The sequence below is a fragment of the Homo sapiens genome, chromosome 3 (assembly GCF_000001405.40).
Source record: "Homo sapiens chromosome 3, GRCh38.p14 Primary Assembly".
NCBI classification, from domain to species: domain Eukaryota; kingdom Metazoa; phylum Chordata; class Mammalia; order Primates; family Hominidae; genus Homo; species Homo sapiens.
Genome location: NC_000003.12, coordinates 165,870,280 through 165,895,979, shown reverse-complemented (window position 1 = coordinate 165,895,979; position 25,700 = coordinate 165,870,280). Strand labels below are relative to the sequence as shown.

The following is a 25,700-nucleotide window of genomic DNA, read 5'->3' as shown; positions in this document are numbered from 1 at the left end:
ACAAAAAAACTCTCAAGAGGTTACAGACCAGTGCCATGCTTCCCTCCAATGTGCTTACACTAAGCTTTAAATTGTAATTATGTGTGTATATATGCATTTTTTACTACAGTGACTGTCAGTATCTTGGGAAGAGCCGTTATTGTAGCTCCTTCAGTCTCTAAAGTGACTGACTACCCCCTCCTCTTCTTCCTTTGTTACAAACCTCATGATGTGGCATATATTGCAAAAAATCACATCTCATAAATGTTTCCAATGAACTCTTGGCCCAAAGGAAAACCCCTCTTTATGTCACAAGAATAAAAAAGGAAAGACTATAAATGTGATCTCTAGAAAGGCATTCCTCTTCACACAATTCTTAATACATTTCCTTAGATGATATCTGGAAACTGAAATTCTTTCTTGTATTCTTCTTTTATTCCAGAGGCAACTTGTTAAATCCTCACCTTTCTATCTCTGTGCCTCACTGATCTATTCATTCAAAGAGACCACTCTTTCCAGCACTTAGTGCTGAAAGTTTATTATTGTGAAAAAAAAAAAAAAAGCTCTGAACCAATTTTGTTCAGGTGAAGACTAAAATTTTCAGTTATACGTGTCCATTCTTTAGCATAGCCATAGTCTGAAAACATAAGTGGATATAAATAATAAATGATTAATCACTATTACATTATAATATATGATGTGACCAATGACACTACATATTTCATATGTTGTCCCTTATTAACAATGCATAATACAACACACTGTGCAAAATTGCAATAAACTCAGTGCATTATCCTGACATTTCTTTTATTTCCTGTCTTCTTAGATGCTTCATGTCTCTCATTTTCTCTAAATAAGCATGGGCCTTCACTATACCACTGAAGAGATTTGCTCTGCAATTAAAAACAAAACAAACAAACCACACAATAGTTCAGACTTTTGTGACCATATATATAATTAATTCTATAAATCATTTATTGATGAAAACCTGTCTTGATCACTGGAATATTGGGAATAATAAGACAAAATAGCTGTCCTCATGAAATTGATTGTCTAAATTCTTTTGTATGTGATATGTAGAAGTAAATATGATGATACAAGAAATATGTCAGAGGATTTTAACCTAGTCTATGAAGTTAGAGAAGGCTTTATAATAAAATGGCATTAAGCTCATATTATAAAGGTAAGTGGATTTTATTGAAGTGCAGCTGCAGTATTGAATGAGTCAGCTCAATCTAACCAGAGGATAAAGCATATGCAAAGCACTGGACCAGAGTGAGAATGTGACATCCCGAGGCACTGTAAGAAGAATTTATGGGTGCAGAGTAGGAAGAAAGTTAAGGCTTCATTTGGAGACTCTTATGAGCTGTATTAAATGTTTAGGATTTTATCACAAGAGCAATGGGAATTCATTTATATTTTTTAAGTAGAACTGGCACAACTAACTAGCTTTTTATTTGAAAATAATGTGTTGGAGTAGAGTAAGTGGATGCAGGGAAACCAACCGGAGATTACTGCAGTGGTCAGAACAGAGATGTGGTGACCCACACTAGGGGCAGTATGTTTGGAGAATAGTATATGGCTTACGAGACATTAAAGACTCAATCAATCAACTGAATTTGGTCACTGTTAAATGTAGAGGGAGAAGAAATACAAAATCAAAGGTATTTTTCAGATTAAATAGTTGGAGGTTATTTAATAAGACAGAAAAACTTGAAGAAGGGGAAAATTTGCAAGAAAAAATGACAAATCCGATTTTGGACATACTGAGTTTTAGGTATATGAGTTGTTGTTAAGCATATAGAGGTTGGCATTGGGGAATTATCTGTTTACAGATGGTACTTAGGCCGTTGGATTGGTTGTTTGCATGTGGGTGTAGGTTTAGTTGTTGTTTGCCTGTCTTTTCCCTTATTATGTTGGTGCAAAAGTAATTGCAGTTTTTGCCATTGAAAGTAATGGCATAGCCATAGTCTGAAAACATAAGTGAATATAAATAATAATGAATCACTATTACATTATAATATATGATGTGACCAATGACACTACATAATATATTTCATATGTTGTCCCTCATGAACAACACACAATACAATCCACTGTGAATTTTGCCATTACTTTCAATGGCAAAAACCGCAATTACTTTTATACCAACCTAATAGAAACATTTTGAATATATTTAAATATGGGTTAGGAAAGAACTGATGAAGGAAAAATTGAAGGCATGGGACTGAAAAGGAATAATTGTGTAGCTGAGTAGTTTCTTGGGATATTTGTAATTATCTATTACTTCTAAAGAAGGTGATTTCTGGTAAGCGGAGGGTCTTTAATCTGTTGGGCACAGATTATTATTGGCAATCCACATAGCTGAGAAGAGTTTTAAGCAATGAGGCAAGTATGGATTTAGGATAAATGTGAGTTAGCTTATTTTACCTGGGAAAAAAGAAAATTAAGACTTAATGGGGAACACCTAGCTATGTAAAAAGTAGGACTGGGACTGCTGGGCTCCTTATGTGGGAAGAAAAGCAAAAGGACATCATTCTGAATAGTCACTAGACACTTTTAATTGAGTTTTGAGTGAAATTCTATTCAGTGTTTTACAACAGTTATTCTTCCATTCCTATAAAAATCTCCAGTGAAATCATTCCTTCTCATTAATCCCTAATGTAAATTGACTCTTTGTAGTAAATGTAAAGAACCACGTTTCTCTATCACAGATTCTTTTAGACCAACTAATGTATGCATAGACATTCTTTTAGGTGGTGATAGAGAAGATGAGCATCAGAACACACATGTAAGGATATATCTTACGGTGAACCAAACCTTTACACTATAACAGGAAACAGGATAAAACAATGATGGTGGGTATGTATAGAAAAAGTGATTTCATAGCAAGGTCAACTGCTGAAAAGGATGGATAAGGTGAAGTTACTGCCAGTTTAGAAATAATGGGGAAAACTGAAATAATTTTGAAGGGGTGGGGGCATGTGAGTTTGCAATGTAATATCAATGTACAATTGATATTTGGGAAGGCAGTGAGTGTCAGTGTGCCTGCCAATGAAATAGGCTCAGTGACCATGGCCCAGTTTTTGACCAGAAGTTTGACTGAATTCAATCTGAAGATTTATATTTTTTCGATGGTGTGACGGCAGGGCAAAGAGGCATGGGAACTCACCTGCTGATTCGACTGTGCTTCCCACCCCTCACAAAGAGTCTCTCCCCCAAGAAGATGACATTCTTGAGATGCTTCATCCCAAGAATGCTTTTAAATGCTGTTTCCATCATGCAAAAGAGCAAATTCTCTTTTAAAAATACTGGCTTTCTAATTCCTATCTTAGGTGACAGAGGTAAAAAACAAACAAGTACAGATGGATCATGCTATAGTTTGGATATTAGTCCCCTTCAAACCTCGTGTTGAAATTTTATCCTCAGGGTTGAAAGTGGGGCCTAATGAAAGGTGTTTTTGTCATGGGGGTGGATTCCTCATGAATGGCTTGGTACCATCCTCGCAGTAATGAATGAGTTCTTGCTCTGATACTGGGAAAGCTGATTGTTTAAAAAGAGCCTTGTACCTCCCCTGTCTCTTTCTTGCTTCCTCTCTCACCATGTGATCTCTGCATACACCTGCTCCCATTCACCTTCTGCCATAAATGGAAGCAGCCTGAAGCTTTCACCAGAAGTAAAATCTTTTAGCCAGCAGAATCATAAGCCAATAAATATCATTTTAAAAAATTAATTACACAGCCTCAGCTATTTATTTTTATTTTATTTATTTATTTATTTTTTGTTTTTGAGACAGTTTCACTCTGAAAACAGTCACCCAGGCTGGAGGTCAGTGGCACTATCTCAGCTCACTGCAACCTCCACCTCCTGGGTTCAAGTGATTCTCCTGCCTCAGCCTCCCAAGTAGCTGGGATTGTAGGCACCTGCTACCATGCTTGGCTAATTTTTGTATTTTTAGTAGAGATGGGGTTTCACCATGTTGGCCTGGCTGGTCTTAAAATTCTGACCTCGGGTCATGTGCCCTCCGTGGCCTCCCAAAGTGCTGGGATTACAGTCATGAGCCACCGTGCCCAGCCTCAGCTATTTCTTTATAGCAACACAAACTAAGACAGATCCCTATTAACATCATGTATACCTCACAAGATGCACTCCTTTTTACCCAGAACTACCAGTAAAAACATTTGTTTTCCAGCTCCAATTCTTCCTTTTTAAGCAATTATTATTCTGCTTTATTTTATGAGGCAATGGTGGTTCATCCGAACTTGGAACAACGATTTTCTTGATCACACATCACCCATCTAAATGTGTTAACCCTAAGAGCTAGTAAATTCCTTAATACAAACCAAAGAGTTGGAAACGCTGGCCTGTGGAGAAAACCATGCATATGCTGCAGTGATGTAAGTATTTCTCTCTAGTTGTCTTTACAAAGATTTGTTAGCAATAGTAATGTTATTATTTAAGCTGTAAGCCAGAAATCCAAGTGAATATTCTTTTTAAGGAACCAGTCCAAGAACAGTTATATATTTTGGAGCTTTCCTTTTATCTATTTGACAAAATTTTAAATGTATGAGTAATAACATTCTGAGAAGCCTGGAAGGAGCATATAAAAACTTAAGTTCATCTTAGAAAACATATCCCAGATATAACCCTTCTATAACTCTAAATTATAAGAACAAAAGCAAAACTTCCTTATATGGGTCCCTCCCTCAGGCATCTCACCTTTCAACAAATGGCCAACCAGATACCATATTTTCAGTGTTGTCCATTTGAAAATTCATAATCTGGAAATATTTTCATCCATTGATACTACTGATAAAAAATAAAAACTTAAGAATTTATATTCATGAAATGAGGAGGCACATTATTTTAATGGCAAGGGTTTCTATGGCCTTCATAAAAAAGGTTCCATGTGGTCCCAGAGCTTATTTTTGGCATACAATAAGAATTTCTCATGTTCTGAAACATCTAGCATATTTATTGTTCATTGAAGAATTCATTCTTACCCTAATAATTTACTGTAACAGCAATAAATATTGTGGCACTACCAAGCTTCGAGGAACATATTTCCTCACTGTTTTTAATGAGGTTCTTATAGCAGCATCTATAATAGATATAAATGCAAAGTGATACTTAAAAATATAGATAATTAATCCTCATGACAGATCAGCTAAATCAGCGTTTCATGGTAGAGGGGTCCAGATATTCATCTTTTAAAAAGCACTTTAGATGATTCAAATGCACAAAGAGGTTTGAGAATGACTGATATTCACCAACAGTTTACTGATATACCGCCTTTTTGTTTGTTTGTTGTTATTGTTGTTTGTTAGGTGACTAGAGTGCAGATAATCATTGTTTCTGGCTAGATTCTCAGCACATTTCTACGCCATAAGACCTTGTCAGGTGTTCATATTTAAAATACACTCCATATCTGATTAGATCAAAAACTCTGAAAGGCACGTATCAACCCAGTTCTTCCAACAATTTAGTTTCTGAAAGTTGTGCCTTACTTCATGGCTTGTGCTTTCCTGTCCTTGAATTAGTTCATTAATTTTTTTAATGTCATAAAATGATTCTTTATTTTATTACAATTCTATTATAAGGGAGATAATTAGGAGTCATATTTTTATCCTAGCTACACTAATATTTATAGAATGTTGATATTGGATGGGCCTTGGAGAGCACATAATTCAAATTTTTAGTTTTCAGAGAGGCAATACTGTTTAATATAAAGAGTTTTGGCAACCAGGTGGCAAAAATAGAAATAAAGTGTTTGATTCTCCACACTCCAATCACCAATTTCTAGCTCAGTGACAATAAATATTTAACCTCTCTGGATTGCAGTATCCTTATATTAGAGAGAATGTAGTATTTTTTGTGAGAAATATATCTTATAAAGTACCAGGCATATAGTATTATTTTGAAACACTATCCATTATTTCTTAAGGCATTTTATCATCTATTGTCTAATATCAAAGACAATAGTATTCAAGGTAAATCTTGTTTTCAAATAGTCACTGTTGTTTAGTTAGAGTTGGGATTAACTGTCTTTGATTGACATGAACATATAAATTCTACTACATTAGTAGTAGAAGAATTTTTCTGAAAGAGGGCTTCCTAAACCAAAAAGAATTGTGTATTTTTTTTCTTTCTCACCTTTGTGATGATATGACACATCACTCTCATAGCAATAGTGCAAGCTCTGATTAGGCTGTATATGAAGATGAAACTATCAATAACAAGCCAAGAAGAACAATAAAGCCTTCTAAATAGTGTAAAAATGTAAAAGCAATACAGTTCTTTTTATCTGTAAAACATCAGTTTTCACTTTGAATTTCAGATATTTTTACTCATTCACATATAAGCATGAAAGATTTAAAATCATATTTATGCCTAAGTATGTTCTAATTAGATGTAAATATTACTTTTTATTTGTTGCTATAGGAAGAAACTACCATTACTTCTTTATGTTAACTGACAATAAATGTTGATAAATAATAGTAAAAATAGAAGGTTTTAATCACATCTATCTACACTCAAAAATTATATTTTGTATATCTATATTCACCAAATAAAAAATTCTCTTCAAATTCAAAGTAAGATTAACATTTATATATATATTTTTGTTAACCTCATTATAGAAGTAGGTACTTAGAATTTCTTGATTTCATACTGTAATAGCAACCTGGAATTCTCCCTCCAGCCTTTTCTTTACCACAACTTTTCTTTTTCTTTACTATTATTATATTGGAAAGCCAATGCTTATGGGGTAAGATGAAGGCTTTTTTGTTACATTTTCAAACTTTTCCATACATTCTCCAAATCTAAATTCTTAAATTATTCTCTTTCTCCTTGCTTCTGTGAATATTCTGCTGTCACTAGTTGATCAAAGTATCTCTCTTTTGAACCTATTTCTTCTTCATATCTTTGTTTATGCTGTTGTTTTTTCTCTACCTGTACCCTGGCATTAAATTACTCCTTTATTTTGACAGTAAGAAAACTCGTCTAATCTTCAAAATTCAATTCAACTTGCTTCTCCTCCTTTTTTTTTATTTTTCAAATACAAGTGTAGTTTGGAGATACTGTGGGTTCAGTTACAAGCCATTGCAATGAAGCAAATATCACAATAACATGAGTCACACAAAGTTTTTGGCTTTCCATTGCATATTAAAATTATGTTTACAATATACTGTCATCTATTAAGTGTGCAATTGCATTATGTCTAAAAATCAATGTAAATATCTTAATTAAAAACACTTTATTGCTAACTTGTTAATGATAATCTGAGCCTTCAGCAGGTCATGATCATCTTGATGATAGAGGGTCTTGCCTCGATATTGGTAGCTGCTGACTGATGAGGGTGCTGCTTGCTGAAGGTTGGGGAGGCTGTGTTAATTTCTTAAAATAGAACAGCAATGAAGTTTGCTACATAGATTGACTCTTTCACAAAATATTTTTCTATAGCATGCAATGCTGTTTGATAGCATTTTATCCACAGTAAAACTACTTTCAAAATTGTAGTCAATCTTCTCAAATCCCTCTGCTACATTAACTGAGTTTATGTTTTGGTGGGCCAAATTCAAAGGATTTTCTCCTGCTAATAAACTTCCATCATATACTAAAACCATTTGTCAACTTGTTCACTGAAGTTTTATTATGTGAAGTGTGGGAAGGTGAAGATGACCCTCCAAAGATGTCCACCTCCTAATCCTCAATACTTCTGAATATGTTACCTTACATGGCAAAAGGGACTTTGCATATGTGATTAAGTATCTTTCGACAGAGAGATTATACTGGCTGATCCAGGTGGATCTAATATAATCACAAAGATTTTTATAAAATGGAGTCAGAAGGGCCCAAGTCAGAGACAGAGATTGGAAAACTAGAAGCTAGAAAAGTTAAGGAAACGGATTCTTCCCTACAGTCTTCCTTTCAGGATTGCAGCCTGACCAACAGATTAATTTTAGCCTCGTAAGACCCATTTTAGGACTTCCATCCTCTAGAACTATAAGATATAAATTTGTGTTAAGACACTCAATTTGTAGTCATTTGTTACAGCAGTAATAGGAAATTAATATATGTGGTAACCTCATATAACAGTGAAATAGATGCTTTATTTTAAAGGTGTAGATGGAAAAAGAAAGAAATTGAATAGAAAGAAAAGAAAAGTCACAAAGCGTTGTCTTATGTCATGATATCCCACAGCAAGAACACAACCAGCTCCCAGTGGTTGAATTAAACTGCCTCACTGATCTTAAATGTATTTCAAGCATATCTACAACAGTAGGAAAATGTCATACTCCATCATTAAAATTAAATATTTTTTTTCTTTGACTACACTCTACCTGTGGCTACAATTAACTGTTCTCCCTTTACTCTGTGTTTCCTATCTCCACTCCATAACTTTCCCTCATCTTAGCTTCTGTTTCTGCATGACTTACATTAATCCTTTGTGGTTTTCACTGATGCATATATTGTGCACTGACATTTCTTTGTAATCTTCAGTTCTGCTTCCAAACACCTGTCCCTATCTCCACATGTCCAGTTCAATTTTTGGGAAAACAGCATTATAATGGTCCAGATACTACCTGATGATTTTCCATTTGGATTTGGGTTCATTGTATTTATACTTTGCTTCCACAACCTGATGATAAGAACTTTGGTGTTTAGGACCAAATATTATGCTGTATTTAATACCATTTCATAGCATAGAGCCCAGATTAGCTAGGTTTTAATTAATTACTTTGCTAATAGAATAATTAAGTATTACCATCAACACTGTCAACAAACAGGAAAATGAAAAAAATATATTTCTGCCAAATTTGTGACATCTTCAATGTCAGGTAAATATGGATACCACAAACTTAATTATTAAATATCTTTATCATTTTTCAGGCATGTGTGTGTATATATATATATATATTTTTATATTTGGAGCATTATCTATAACTTACATATAGGGTTTCAAGTTGAGCCTATATTTATATTTTCACTAACTTCCCAGTTAAAATATTTAGTCAATTAATGCTTCATTATGAATCTATTAACTTAAAAGTATCCCTTTTATTAAAGGGTATACACTTTTTAAGTCCTAATTAAGTTTATACATTTTTCTATGATCATATTTCTTTTAAATTAATGACAGCACATTGAAACACTATAGGTAACTGTATAACATGCTAACATTGATAAATATTGATGTTGATTATTTTTATTCTATTTTTCTATACTCTTCCCATGTTCTAAGGTCCTATTACATAATACTTTCAATTTCACTAATGAATAAATGATGGTTTCATTTATTAATGACAACAAATACGCCATTCAACTCTAATTTACTTTATAAACTATGTTTTATTAAGGAAAGAAAAACAGACTAAAGAATAAACTAAGATTTATACTTTTGTCATGATAAATTTTTATGAAACACAATGGAATAGCCTGCCTTACAAAGGACATATTTTATACTTATGTTTATCAAAACTTAGGTTTTGTCTACCAAATTACATTTTGCCAGAAAAAGAGCAGTAATTCACATAAAGTACTGGAGATTAGGAATGCCTTCTTATTTAGCATTTTAAATGGTAATGTATTTCTATTATTATTTATCAAGAGTACCTCTCTTCTTGCAGAGATTAAAGACCTGTACAGAAATGCATATTTTATATTATGCATATGGTTCAATTATTTCTTGGCAAGAGATTCCTCCTGAAAGGGGTTTAGGTACATTGTTGCGTATATTGTCTCTGATTGGTCATTATGCTATCATTTCATAAATAATTGATTAATTAGAATATTAAGTACATGCGACGTCCCATTTTTTTAAGGGCATAGAGACTGAAGAGATTTCACAATCTTTAAAGTTAACTGGATGAGCTAATAATGCTCACCATGCTTTTTTCAAGTAAGCAGCGCAGAAAGTGAAACAGATAGTGTTTTTACTATTGGATACAGGGCATTATTTTTTTTAATGTTTGTTCCCTTATCATGAACTACCATCTAACCATTGTTTAAGCAGTAAGAAGAACAATACCATAAACAAGAAAACTAGAGATCAAGAAAAATTCTGAAAGTAATGTGAAGAGAAAACAAGTCTTGGAGCTCTCAAATCATTAAGCTAAAGGGAAAAGTCAAGCTGGGAACTGCTTAGGGCTAACATGCCTCTCATTCTACTCAAAGTCACCCCTCTGCTCACTAAGATAAATTCACATCTGTTTGCTTCCTTTGGAAAGGCTAATTAGAAACTCAAAAGAATGCAACCATTTGTCTCTTCTCTACCTATGACTTGGAAGTCCCATCCCTGCTTCAAGTCTTCCAGCTTTTGCTTCCAGTTGTCCCGCCTTTCCAGACCAAATCAAGGTTTTTTTTACATATGTTGATTGATGTCTCATGTCTCCCTAAAATGTATAAAACCAAACTGTGCTCTGATCACCTTCAGCACAAGTCGTCAGGACCTCCTGAGGAGGCTGTGTCACGGGTGCGTGTCCTCAACCCTGGCAAGGTAAGCTTTCTAAATTACCTGAGACCTGTCTCAGATATTCGGGGTTCACAGTTAAGATACAGATAGTTATTCTCGGCTAAAGTATTTTCTCCAAGTCCCTTTTTAAATTGCCTTTTAGATGCAAGAATAAGGAACTCAAAGTGAAAAATTGCAAATAAGTAATAAAAAAGACCACATATTTTTTGTAATGTCCTCTTGATTACACTAATTAGTTTCAGTGTTTGTGGATGTTAAGAACCTCTTGCCACTCTTTACTCATTCACACAAGAATCACAGATTATGTCAAGTCCCTGTGCTAATTTGACCTATAATCCGTCTTTCTTTGAAGGATATTGTTTTTGTGCATTTATAGTCACCTAAAATCTAAATATTGAATCAAGAATATTATTTTTCTACTTGGCTCAAATTTACAGCAATGTTAATACAAAATTAATAATTTATTTTTAACTTGGTGCATTACAAAATAAGATGCAGTGTGCAAATTATAGTAGTATTATATTAACTTAAGTAACAACTAGAAACAAAACTATAAAAGTCTCTTTGAATGGTATGATGTTTTTCTCTATTGAGAAACCAAAATTTTAATCAGCAATAATATTAATATGCCTGCTAATATTTAATTATAAGTTTTTAGGAAACATAACAAGAAACATTTAAATGCATGTTTACATATAATTATTTAAATAATTTCATGAGATAGATCCTGTGAATTAAAGCTCAGAAAAATTTATGTAAACAGTGTGGCTTATTAGTGTGACTGGAGCTGTGTGAGTAAAGAGAAAGGATGGCAGATGAGGTAGAGATGAGGTCAGAGAAGTGGCTGTTGCATTGAAAATAGAATGCAGTACAAGTATAAAATAGATCACTGAAAAGGTTATTGTAATAATCCAAGTAAAAGAAGATAATAGCTGAGGCATGTGTGGTAAAAATGGACAGAAACTGGAAATATTCTGAAGGTGCCTCCTACCAGAATTACTGCTTATATTTGGAATGTAGGAAAACAAAGAGACAAAGGTAATCCTGACTTTTTTTGCCCTCAAATAATAGGAAAGATGGAATTCCCTTTAACTTGGGTGGGAGAGATTTCAAAGGAGCAGGTTTGTGAAGTTAGGTCATGTCCATGGGTTGTGAGCCCTAAAGACTGGAGCTGCTAATGTTTGTTATCATGGGAAGAAAACTGCCTGAAAACGAAACCAACACAGAGGGTAGCAGAAGTGTGAGATAGACGGTGAAGAATTCCCATTGGCTTTCACAAATTTATCACAAAATTACCTTTTATTAGTATCACCTTTACTTGCTAGGTTGTAGCCACACTGACCTGCCTTCCAGTTTTCTAACAGGTAAATCTCACTTTAGGGCTTTCGCACTTGCTGTTTTATTTGACCGAACTGTGTACCTCCCCACCACTTCTTTACGCCACCCTTTGATCACCCTTCAGATATAAACATAAACTCCGAGAGCTATGATTCACATTGCTTCACTTCCCAATCTAAAGTAGAACACTCTGTCACCTCTTATCTTCACAGACTCTGCCTTCTAGTATATATATACACGTGCATGAATTTATTTGTATATACATATATTATATACATTCATTATAGTTATGCTTTTATGTATATGCTCATTTTATTAACACACGTTTATTATGTGTTTTTTAATCATTTAAATTTGCTGATTTAATCTGAACACAATGAACTTACTGCTATATTTTAAGAAATGATCACAGCCCTTTGAACACAGAAAATGTAAACAAACTAATTTGCTTTGGTGATTTTTCTGTTTTTCCTTTAGTAATCATCTTATACTTTATTATTTATTCAGGGATCTTAATATTGTTAACCAAATTTTGACACTTCCTTTTCTTTTAAGATAACACAGCATAACTCTGCTTTGATTTTGTATATTTAGATCTACCATTTTGCTGTAGAAGATACTTTTGTTTTCACTATCCAGATTTATGCAAACATCAATTCGAATAATTTGAAAAGCAGCTTTCTAATGCAGGCTGATTCCATCATCATTTGAATTTTAAATCTACATTCTTCGATGTGACTAAAAACTTCAATGCATACCCTTCACCTTACCCTATGGAGTGTATAGTGGTGACACATTAGGGTGGTGAATGAGTATTTTCAAAATGCAAATTATTTAAAACAGTCCAAATCATGCCTAAACCTTTACTGGTAGAATTGCGTAATTTACCAGTAGAAAATACTGACTTTTTCTCCAATGTAACCTGGTCATTAATCAAAGATGAAAATAGTTAAGAGACTGTAGAGTTATTTCTAAAGTTATGCCTCTAGATAAGGAGATGTTTAATTTATTTTTTTAATTTTTACCATTTTATACTTTATTACTGAAAACTTGAGGATCATTTCAGATAATGATAACATGCAATTTTTTTTTATTTTTATTTTATTATTATTATACTTTAAGTTTTAAGGTACATGTGCACAATGTGCAGGTTAGTTACATATGTATACATGTGCCATGCTGCTGTGCTGCACCCATTAACTCGTCATTTAGCATTAGGTATATCTCCTAATGCTATCCCTCCCCCCCTCCCCCCACCCCACAACAGTCCCCAGAGTGTGATGTTCCCCTTCCTGTGTCCATGTGTTCTCATTGTTCAATTCCCACCTATGAGTGAGAATATGCGGTGTTTGGTTTTTTTGTCCTTGCGATAGTTTACTGAGAATGATGATTTCTAATTTCATCCATGTCCCTACAAAGGACGTGAACTCATCCTTTTTAATGGCTGCATAGTATTCCATGGTGTATATGTGCCACATTTTCTTAATCCAGTCTATCATTGTTGGACATTTGGGTTGGTTCCAAGTCTTTGCTATTGTGAATAGTGCCGCAATAAACATACGTGTTCATGTGTCTTTATAGCAGCATGATTTATAGTCCTTTGGGTATATACCCAATAATGGGATGGCTGGGTCAAGTGGTATTTCTAGTTCTAGATCCCTGAGGAATCGCCACACTGACGTCCACAATGGTTGAACTAGTTTGCAGTCCCACCAACAGTGTAAACGTGTTCCTATTTCTCCACATCCTCTCCAGCACCTGTTGTTTCCTGACTTTTTAATGATTGCCATTTTAACTGGTGTGAGATGGTATCTCACTGTGGTTTTGATTTGCATTTCTCTGATGGCCAGTGATGATGAGCATTTTTTCATGTGTTTTTTGGCTGCATAAATGTCTTCTTTTGAGAAGTGTCTGCTCATGTCCTTCACCCAGTTTTTGATGGGGTTGTTTGTTTTTTTGTTGTAAATTTGTTTGAGTTCATTGTAGATTCTGGATATTAGCCCTTTGTCAGATGAGTAGGTTGTGAAAATTTTCTCCCATTTTGTAGGTTGCCTGTTCACTCTGATGGTAGTTTCTTTTGCTGTGCAGAAGCTCTTTAGTTTAATTAGATCCCATTTGTCAATTTTGGCTTTTGTTGCCATTGCTTTTGGTGTTTTAGACATGAAGTCCTTGCCCATGCCTATGTCCTGAATGGTAATGCCTAGGTTTTCTTCTAGGGTTTTGATGGTTTTAGGTCTAATGTTTAAGTCTTTAATCCATCTTGAATTAATTTTTGTATAAAGTGTAAGGAAGGGATCCAGTTTCAGCTTTCTACATATGGCTAGCCAGTTTTCCCAGCAGCATTTATTAAATAGGGAATCCTTTCCCCATTGCTTGTTTTTCTCAGGTTTGTCAAAGATCAGATAGTTGTAGATATGTGGCATTATTTCTGAGGGCTCTGTTCTGTTCCATTGATCTATATCTCTGTTTTGGTACCAGTATCATGCTGTTTTGGGTACTGTAGCCTTGTAGTATAGTTTGAAGTCAGGTAGCGTGATGCCTCCAGCTTTGTTCTCTTGGCTTAGGATTGACTTGGCAATGTGGGCTCTTTTTTGGTTCCATATGAACTTTAAAGTAGTTTTTTCCAATTCTGGGAAGAAAGTCATTGGTAGCTTGATGGGGATGGCATTGAATCTATAAATTAACTTGGGCAGTATGGCCATTTTCACAATATTGATTCTTCCTATCCATGAGCGTGGAATGTTCTTCCATTTGTTTGTATCCTCTTTTATTTCATTGAGTAGTGGTTTGTAGTTCTCCTTGAAGAGGTCCTTCACGTCCCTTGTAAGTTGGATTCCTAGGTATTTTATTCTCTTTGAAGCAATTGTGAATGGGAGTTCACTCATGATTTGGCTCTCTGTTTGTCTGTTATTGGTGTATAAGAATGCTTGTGATTTCTGTACATTGATTTTTTATCCTGAGACTTTGCTGAAGTTGCTTATCAGCTTAAGGAGATTTTGGGCTGAGACTATGGGGTTTTCTAGATATACAGTCATGTCATCTGCAAACAAGGACAATTTGACTTCCTCTTTTCCTAATTGAATACCCTTTATTTCCTTCTCCTGCCTAATTGCCCTGGACAGAACTTCCAACACTATGTTGAATAGGAGTGGTGAGAGAGGGCATCTCTGTCTTGTGCCAGTTTTCAAAGGGAATGCTTCCAGTTTTTGCCCATTCAGTATGATATTGGCTATGGGTTTGTCATAGATAGCTCTTATTATTTTGAGATACGTCCTATCAATACCTAATTTATTGAGAGTTTTTAGCATGAAGCGTTGTTGAATTTTGTCAAAGGCCTTTTCTGCATCTATTGAGATAATCATGTGGTTTTTGTCTTTGGTTCTGTTTATATGCTGGATTACATTTATTGATTTGCGTATACTGAACCAGCCTTGCATCCCAGGGATGAAGCCCACTTGATCATGGTGGATACCTTCTCCTGAATGACTACTGGGTACATAACGAAATGAAGGCAGAAATAAAGATGTTCTTTGAAACCAACGAGAACAAAGACACAACATACCAGACTTTCTGGGACACATTCAAAGCAGTGTGTAGAGGGAAATTTATAGCACTAAATGTCCACAAGAGAAAGCAGGAAAGATCCAAAATTGACACCCTAACCTCACAATTAAAAGAACTAGAAAAGCAAGAGCAAACACATTCAAAAGCTAGCAGAAGGCAAGAAATAACTAAAATCAGAGCAGAAATGAAGGAAATAGAGACACAAAAAACCCTTCAAAAAATTAATGAATCCAGGAGCTGGTTTTTTGAAAGGATCAACAAAATTGATAGACTGCTAGCAAGACTAATAAAGAAGAAAAGAGAGAAGAATCACATAGACGCAATAAAAAATGATAAAGGGGATATCACCACCGATCCCACAGAAATACAAACTACCATCAGAGAATACTACAAACACCTCTCCGCAAATAAACTAGAAAATCTAGAAGAAATGGATAAATTCCTCGACACATACACCCTCACAAGACTAAACCAGGAAGAACTTGAATCTGTAAATAGACCAATAACAGGCTCTGAAATTGTGGCAATAATCAATAGCTTACCAACCAAAAAGAGTCCAGGACCAGATGGATTCACAGCCGAATTCTACCAGAGGTACAAGGAGGAACTGGTACCATTCCTTCTGAAACTATTCCAATCAATAGGAAAAGAGGGAATCCTCCCTAACTCATTTTATGAGGCCAGCATCATCCTGATACCAAAGCCGGGCAGAGACACAACCAAAAAAGAGAATTTTAGAACAATATCCTTGATGAACATTAATGCAAAAATCCTCAATAAAATACTGGCAAACTGAATCCAGGAGCACATGAAAAAGCTTAACATGCAATTTTTGAGAACATTATTCTTTTTACCTCTCACCCTTGTCCACGTATTTGTCAACTATTAAGAATTCTTTCCCCTGGTGTTAACAATTATGAGGTCTCCTATGAACCCACAATAAGTTATGTGGGAAATACAACGGGGAGTAAGATGGACTCTCAATTCTGACTTTGAGTTGCTAACAATATTGAAGGGAAAGGGGGACCATGAGGGAAATTTGTATCAGGAAAAGGCACAAAGTATTAAAGTGTTAAATGAGTTGAATAGGGCACAGGAGCAACAACAGAAACAAAATTTAATAAGGAAACTTTAAAAAGTTAAATTATAGGAAACCTTAACAGTGATGATTGTATTTAGAAATTCCATATGTCTCTCTTTTCTTGACACAATGTATATAACAAATACAGAAAACTGTCAGTATAAATGAAGTGAGCTGTTGCCCTACGACCAGCACAAGAAAACTGTCTCACTTTTTTTTTTTTTTCCACTTTAAGTTCTGGGATACATGTGCAAAACGGGCAGGTTTGTTACATAGGTATACAAGTGCCATGGTGGTTTGCTGTACCTATCAACCTGTTATCTAGGTTTTAAGCCTCATATGCATTAGGTATTTGTCCTCATGCTCTCCCTCTCCTTGACCCCCACCCCCCGACAGGCCTGGGTATGTGATGTTCCCCTCTCTGTGTCCATGTGTTCTTGTTGTTCAATTCCCACTTATGAATGAGAACATGTGGTGTCTGGTTTTCTCCTCCTATGTTAGTCTGCTTAGAATGGTGGTTTCCAGCTTCAATCATATCCCTGTAAAGGACACATGAACTCATTCTTTCTTTCTTTCTTTTTTTTTTTTTTTTTTTTTTTTTGAGACAGAGTTTCGCTCTGTTGCCCAGGCTGGAGTGCAGTGGCGCGATCTCAGCTCACTGCAAGCTCCGCCTCCTGGGTTCACGCCATTCTCCTGCCTCAGCCTCCCAAGTAGCTGGGACTACAGGCGCTCGCCACCACGCCCGGCTAATTTTTTGTATTTTTAGTAGAGACGGGGTGAACTCATTCTTTCTTATGACTGCATATTATAAAAAATAAAAATAAAAATAAAAAAATAAAAACCTACTCTTTTTTTTTTCTCTGAAAACACTTATTTTTGAATAGAGTTTTTTGTTGTTTCAAGACACATTGAACATACCTCTAAATTGTATGAAATGACATTTTTCATCCATATAGATAAAATATTGTGATAAAATATATTTGTATATTCTAATTTAGGTTATGTCAATATCTTATATTCACATTTGTGAATGCTTGTCATGCAACATATTCTGTATTATTCTTAATAAATGAGTTGAATGTAAAATTATTCAGTATTTTGGTATTTAAAATGAGGTAGTTTTATTATATAGTCTGACAGCTTTTTGTCAATGAAAGAAAATTTTATTAATTGAAGTGTGTAGCTGTTCAGGTTTAATAATTCAAATATTAATAGAAATGTAAGATCTTATAATATGATTAGCAATTTTTAATCAATATAAGAAGATACTGATTGTGTATTAACAGTTATTTCCATAGAAAGGAAGTACAATTTAAGGTAACCAATGTAAAAAATTGAGTGTACTTTGGGTTTGATAAAAAGGAATACATTGAAATTAATGATATTTGAGGAGATTCACATAAGTTAGGCAATTTACTGAGTCCATCTTTGTACTTCCATATCCCTTGTCTCTGAACGGGATTTAGAGATATGAAACTTCTTGAGATTTCTTGACTCTGGCCACTGATTCCAGACACATGGAAACATGATCAAGAGAGATATCAACAGATTTAGTACTTCAGCTTCCTCTTCCTCCCCATTCCACACAACCCACTGCCTCATGTAGTAGATGATAAATACGTATTTTTAATTCTCACAATATATTGGAGAAAAGAGACTTGAAAACTCATAATGCAGTCATGTCCACATAAGAAAATGCTTTTAAATATTTCTCTTGTTGCAACAAATGTTTATGACAACTATAAATGGCCTATGTTTGTGATAACAGCTTGCAGAAACCACAGGTCCTGACTCTCCCCTGAATTATATCATAGAAATGCAATACCTGTTTTCATAACCTCTCTGCTCAGGTCATTTATGGGAAGAACAAAATTGGGAAAGTACATTTTTTTTTTTAACTCAAAACCTACCACGGTTAAATCTCTAATCTATAAGCACAGAAACAAAGATGAACACTTGGACTCTACCTTCAAAGAGCTTAGAGTTCAGTAGAGATGATAAAAGGTGCACACAGAGAGCTGCAATACAGACAAGATTTCAAGAGGCTATGTGCTGTACAAAAGTTACAAAGAAAATGATGGTTTCAAACACTCCATTGTGACCATCTTTGCAGGCATGTGAAGACATACAGCCGAGATAATGTAGGGATGTGTACAGGGTATCAATTTGCAGTAAGTTTTGGAGTTTTTTAATTCCAAAAATTTTTGAAATTTGCTGACAAAATGTCATTTTAAGTACTGCTGAATTATATAGATGCAAAGAAAGAGAAATAGTTAATATGTCAATGATGTATTCTTAAACATATAAAACTCAAATTCCTAAGTAATGACTCAGCCTTCACAATTATGACTTTTTAACATATGGATCGTTACTGACTTCATCTTAATTGATATGACAATTTTCTGTACATTCTGTGGCAGCATTTGGCATTGTGGTTTTATTCAGAATGAATAACTCAAGTATCTGACATCTTAATGTGGGGACATCTGTCAGTCTAAACTAAAACTGATCATTGAATTTTTAGCAACAAAATATTTATAGCTTATAAGTGATAGAATGTAAAATAATCTCTGAAATAATTTAATCATTTTCTATAAATTATGTATTCATGTCATAAACAATATGCTATGTCAGCATGCACAGTATATAATAAACCTCTTTTTCTTATACATATTTACTACACAATAAAATGTATTACCCACAATTTTGTGTTGCACGAATATACTTTTCCTCTTGTTGAATTGCAAGCAATTTTTTATCCTTCTTTGGTGAAACAAGATAAAATGGACCTTCCTCTTGGCTAATTCCCAAACATTCTATACTTCCATTACTACATGTACAATGTTTGATCCACAAATAAATATCTTGTGAATATTGCTAATAATATTTCTATGATTTTTTTCACCAACTTTCAAAACAGCACATTGTTGAAATTAACAATAGTAATGGTTGACAAAAATGTCATTAGGGATTCTCAAATAAATCAGAGGTTAAGAGTCTTTTAATTAACTACACGTCTCCTTTTCTTCCCATTTTTAGATCACGGCTTCAGTCAGCCACTTTTACTGACAGGAATGCATTTTATTCCTTAGTTGTTTCATGTAGAGGGATAGTCAAATGACTGAGAATCATTGCATTATTATACATTAAACAGAATTTCATATTTAGTAAAAATAAGTCATTCTCTTTTGATGCCATAATATTTAGGCAATTTTCATAGACAAGAAAAGTCTACAGAAATTATTTTTTCCCATTCCAAAAGCTGGTCATATGGATGAAATAATCCTTTTTATTCATTCTTGGCCTTTGAAGTTATACACTAAGCTCTTAGGAAAATGTAGATGTTGGAATTGTGTATTAAGAATTGAGTATGGTCAAAATGTAATTATTGAATTAACATTGGACATACACATAGAAGGCATGGTGTGAGAACAAAATCTGCATTTTCTACTGACAATGATGTAAATGTTTCATGGCCCATATTTGGAGAAATATTGTCATTGAAGCTGCATAGGTCTTTGGATTAATACTGTTTGGTTTTGGACCCTGAGTCCGCCAATTTTTCAGATAAGCCAACTCAGGCATTACTTATTTAGTGTTGCTAAGTCTCAGTTAATTCAACTGCAAGCCAGTTATAATATGCTTTCTATTTCACAGAGTCGCAGTGAGGATGCATTGAGGTTATGCATGCAAAGCATTTGGCCCAGAGACTGGTACTAGGAGAGACTGATTAAGTTATCTCGTCATCATCATCACCATCATCATAGGATCAACATGCTAAAACTCCATATTAAAAATATTTAAGGTATGAGAGATACAGCAGATCACGGCGGACAGCAGGCAGGACTAGACTGCAGCTCCAGACAGCGCAGTATGCAGAGGCTTGCATTGTGAATTTTAGCACCAGATTGACTGCAAAAACAAACCAGCAACCCAGAGAGGACCCACAGACCCTCTGAAGGAAGCAGACTGCTCCTGCAAGACCAGGGAGACATCCCAAATACTGTGAGTGCCCCAACTGCAGAAGTGGGAAAGAGACCCTCCTTTCCCAAACACACACCCCCACCGGAGAAGCTGAAGGTCTGTTTGCTGGAGACGTTCTCGACTTACCTGGAGCTGAGTCAAATTAGAGAGCCGAGGTGATTGAAATACAGGGGTGGAGGAGGTAGCTGGGAGGCCCTGGGAGCTCACTGAATCCCCATAGCCCATTCCTGCCTGCCTGGCACCACAGGGATCCATCAGGAGGGTGGCCAGAGGAGCAGGGGGTAAAACCCCACCGGGAGAAGGACTTCCCCACCTGAACTTTGTAACAATTTGAGCAGGGAGAGAAGCCTCCTGGCCAGAACGCAGGAGAGGGTGTGAATCTGGCTTGCAGACTTCACAGGTGAGGGAAGAACTGAAGCCCTTTTCTTTTGCAGCTGGGAGGTGGAAAGCCTCGGACAAGTTTTTAAGCCCGCTCTCCGCCTGGAAACAGGCTGTGGGTGGCACTGTGGGAGTGAGACCAGCTCTTCGGTTTGCGTGGGAGCTGGGTGAGGCCTGTGATTGCCGGCTTTTCCCCTCTTCCCGGACAACCTGCATGACTCAGCAGGAGCAGCGGTAATCCTCCTAGGTACACAGCTCTGGTGACCTGGGAATCTCACAGCAGCCACAGCAAGACCCGCCCAAGGAGAGTCTGAACTCAGACACACCTAGCCCTGCCCCAACCTGATGGTCCTTCCCTACCCACCCTGGTACTGGAAGACAAAGGACATATAACCTTAGGAGTTCTAGGGCCCTGCGCCCTACTGGTCCCTCTCCGCATTACTACAGCTCATGCTTTCTGGAAAGCGCCACCTCTTGGCAGGAGGTCAACCAGCACAAAAATAGAGCATTAAACCACCAAAGCTAAGAACCCTCACGGAGCCAGCACCCTCTGCCACCCCCACCAGAACAGGTGCTGGTATCCACAGCTGAGAAACCCATAGACAGTTCACATCACAAGACTCTGTGCAGAAATCCCCAGCACCAGCCAGGAGCTGGGTAGGCTTGCGGGGTGGCTAGACCCAGAAGAGAGACAACAATCACTGCAGTTAGACTCACAGGAAGCCGCATCCATAGGAAAAGGAGGAGAGTACAACATCAAGGGGACACCCCATGAGACAAAAAAATCTGAACAACAGTCTTCAGCCCTAGACCTTCCCTCTGACAGAGCCTATCCGAATGGGAAGGAACCAGAAAACCAACCTTGGTAATATGATAAAATAAGGATCATCAACACCCCCCAGAAATCACTCTAGTTCACCAGCAATGGATCTAAACCAAGAAGAAATCCCTGACATACCTGAAAAAGAATTCAGGAGGTTAGTTATTAAGCTAATCAGGGAGGGACCAGAGAAAGGCGAAGCCCAGTGCAAGTAAATCCAAAAAATGATACAAGAAGTGAAGGGAGAAATAGTCAATGAAATAGATAGCTTAAAGAAAAAACAATCAACAATTCAGGAACTTTTGGACACAATTTTAGAAATGCAAAGCTTTGGAAAGTCTCAGCAATAGAATTAAACAAGTAGAAGAAAGAAATTCAGAGCTCGAAAACAAGGTTTTTGAACTAACTCAATCCAACAAAGACAAAGAAAAAAGAATAAGAAAATGTGAACAAAGCCTCCAAGAAGTTTGGGATTATGTTAAATGACCATGCCTAAGAATATTCGGTGTTACTGAGGAAGAAGAGAATTCTAAAAGCTTGGAAAACATATTTGGGGGAATAATCAAGGAAAACTTCCCAGGTCTTGTGAGAGACCTAGATAGCCAAACACAAGAAGCACAAAGAACACCTGGGAAATTCATCACAAAAAGATCTTCACCTAGGCACGTTGTCATCCGGTTATCCAAAGTTAGGAAGAAGGAAAGAATCTTAAGAGCTGTAAGACAGAAGCACCAGGTAACCTATAAAGGAAAACCTATCAAATTAACAGCAGATTTCTCAGCAGAAACCCTCCAAGTTAGAAGGGATTGGGGCCCTATCTTCAACCACCTCAAACAAAACAATCTTCAGCCAATAATTTTGTATCCAGCAAAACTAAGTATCATATATGAAGGAAAGATACAGTCATTTTTCAGACAAATGAAAACTGAGAGAATTCTCCATTTCCAAGCCACCACTATGAGAACTGCTAAAAGGAGCTCTAAATCTTCAAACAAATCCTGGAAACACATCAAAACAGAATCTCTTTAAAGCATAAAGCACACAGGATCTATAAAACAAAGATACAAGTTAAAAGGCAAAAGCAAAAAACCAAAAAATAAAAATAAAAAACAATGAAGGCAACAAAAAGCATGATGAATGCAACAGTACCCCAAATTTCAATACTAACATTGACTATAAATAGCCTAAATGCTCCACTTAAAAAATACAGAACTGTAGAATGGTTAAGAACTCACCAACCAACTAGCTGCTGCTTTCAGGAGGCTCACCTAACACATAAGGACTCACATAAACTTAAAGTAAGGGGGTAGAAAAAGGCATTTCATGCAGTTGGATACTGAAAGTGAAGAAGGGGTAGCTATTCTTGTATCAGACAAAACAAACTTTAAAACAACAGTGGTTAAAAGAGACAAAAAGGGACATTACATAATGGTAAAAGGCCTTGTCCAACAGCAAAATATCACAATCCTAAACATATATGCACCTAACACTGGAGGTCCCAAATTTATAAAACAATTACTAACAGACCTAAGGAATAAGATAGACAGCAACACAAAAATAGAGGGGGACTTCAGTACTCCACTGACAGCACTAGAGAGGTCATCAAGACAGAAAGTCAAGAACAACAACAAAAAACAATGGATTTAAACTATACCTTGGAAGAAATGGACTTAACAGGTATGTACAGAACACTTCATCCAACACCTGCAGAATGCTCATTCTATTCAACAGCCCATGGAACTTTCTCCAAGATAGTCCATATGACAGGCCATACAATAAGCCTCAATAAATTTAATAAATTTGAAATTATATCAAGCATTCTCTCACACCACAGTGGAATAAAACTGGAAATCAAATCGAAAAGCAACCCTCAAAACCATGAAAATACATGGAAATTAAGTAACCTGCTCTTGCATAAGCATTGGGTCAAAAACAAAATCAAGATGGAAATTAAAAAATTATTTGAGCTGAATGACAATAATGACACAACCTATCAACACCTCTGGGATACAGCTAAGGTAGTGCTAAAAGGAAAGTTCATAGCTTTAAATGCCTACATCAAAAAGTCTGAAAGAGCAAAAGCAGACAATCTAAGGTCACACCTCAAGGAACTAGAGAAACAAGAAGAAACCAAACCCAAACCCAGCAGAAGAAAGGAAATAACCAACATCAGAGCAGAGAGAAACAAAATTGAAACAAACAAACAAACAAGCAAACAAAAAAGTACAAAAGATAAATGAAACAAAAAGCTGGTTCTTTGAAAAGATAAATAAGATTAATAGACCATTAGCAAGATTAACCAAGAAAAAATAGAGAAAATCCAAATAACCTCACTGAGATATGAAACAGGGGATATTACAACTGACACCACTGAAATACAAAAGATCATTCAAGGCTACTATGAACACCTTTACACACATAAACTAGAAAACCTAGAAGAGATGGATAAATTCCTGGAAAAATACAATCCTCCTAGCTTAAATCAAAAAGAATTAGATACCCTGAACAGCCGAATAGCAACCAGCGAGATTGAAATGGTAATTAAAAAATTACCACCACAGAAAAGTCCAGTACCAGACGGATTCACAGCAGAATTCTACCAGAAATTCAAAGAATTGGTACCAATTTTTTTTGACAATATTACCCAAAAGAGAGAAAGAAGGAACCCTCCCTAATTCATTCTGTGAAGCCACCATCACCTAAATACCAAAACCGGGAAAAGACACAACCAAAAAAGAAAAATATAGACTGATATCCTTGATGAATATAGATGCTAAAATCATTAACAAAATAATAGCTAACTGAATCCAATAACATATCAAAAAGATAATCCACCATGATCAAGTGGGTTTCATACCAGGGATGCAGGGATGCTTTAACATACACAAATAAATAAATGTGATTCAACACATCAACAGAATTAAAAACAAAAATCACACAATCATCTCAATAGATGCAGAAAAATCATTCAACAAAATCCAGCATCCCTTTGTGATCAAAACCCTCAGCAAAATCGGCATACAAGGGTTATACCTTAATGTAATAAAAGCCATCTATTACAAACCCACAGCCAAAAAAGTACTGAATGGGGAAAAGTTAAAAGCATTCCCCCTGAGAACGGGAACAAGGCAAGGATGCCCTCTGTCACCACTCCTCTTCAACGTAGTACTGCAAGCCTTAGTCAGAGCAATCAGACAAGAGAAAGAGACAAACGGCATCCAAATCAGTATAGAGGAAGTCAAACTGTCCCTGTTTGCCGATGATATGTTCATTTACATTGAAAACCCTAAGGACTCCTCCAGAAAACTCCTAGAATGGATCAAAGAATTCAGCAAAGTTTCCAGATATGAGATTAATGTACACAAATCAGTAGCTCTTCTATACACCAACAGTGACCAAGTGGTGAATCAAATCAAGAACTCAACCCCTTTTATAATAGCTGCAAAAAAAAAAAAAATACTTAGGAATATACAAAACAAAGGAGTCAAAAGACCTCTACAAGGAAAACTACAAAACACTGCTAAAATAAATCATAGATGACACAAACAAATGGAAACACATCCCATTCTCATGGATGGGTAGAATCAATATTGTGAAAATGACCATACTGCCAAAAGCAATCTACAAATTAAATGGAATCCCCATCAAAATACCACCATCATTCCTCACAAAGTTAGAAAAAACAATTCCAAAATACATATAGAACCAAAAAAGAGCCCACATAGCCAAAGCAAGACCATGCAAAAAGAACAAATCTGGAGGCATCACATTACCTGATTTCAAACTATACTATAAGGCGATGGTCACCAAAACAGCATGGTACTGGTATAAAAATAGGCACATAGATCAATGGAACATAATGGAGAACCCAGAAAAAACCCAAATACTTACAGCCAACTGATCTTTGATGGAGGAAACAAAAACATGGAGAAAGGACACCCTTTTCAACAAATGTTGCTGGGATAATTTGCTAGCCACATGTAGGAGAATGAAACCGGATCCTCATCTCTCACCTTGTACAAAAAATCAACTCAAGATGGATTAAGGACTTAAACCCAAGACCTGAAACTATAAAAATTCTA

At 35.7% G+C, this 25,700-nt stretch overlaps 2 annotated features.

The window, feature by feature from the left end:
* Nucleotides 20,243-21,442: an enhancer, noted in NCBI's record as "CDK7 strongly-dependent group 2 enhancer chr3:165592326-165593525 (GRCh37/hg19 assembly coordinates)". NCBI's record gives its function as "activates an origin of replication core promoter dependent on BRD2, BRD4, P300/CBP, MED14 and CDK7 cofactors, with strong dependence on CDK7, by STARR-seq in HCT116 cells {active_cell/tissue: HCT116}" and the evidence as "EXISTENCE:reporter gene assay evidence [ECO:0000049][PMID:35650434]".
* Nucleotides 20,876-21,399: an enhancer, noted in NCBI's record as "H3K27ac-H3K4me1 hESC enhancer chr3:165592369-165592892 (GRCh37/hg19 assembly coordinates)". NCBI's record gives its function as "activates a minimal SCP1, AML or CMV promoter by ChIP-STARR-seq in primed H9 embryonic stem cells {active_cell/tissue: H9 hESC(primed)}" and the evidence as "EXISTENCE:reporter gene assay evidence [ECO:0000049][PMID:30033119]".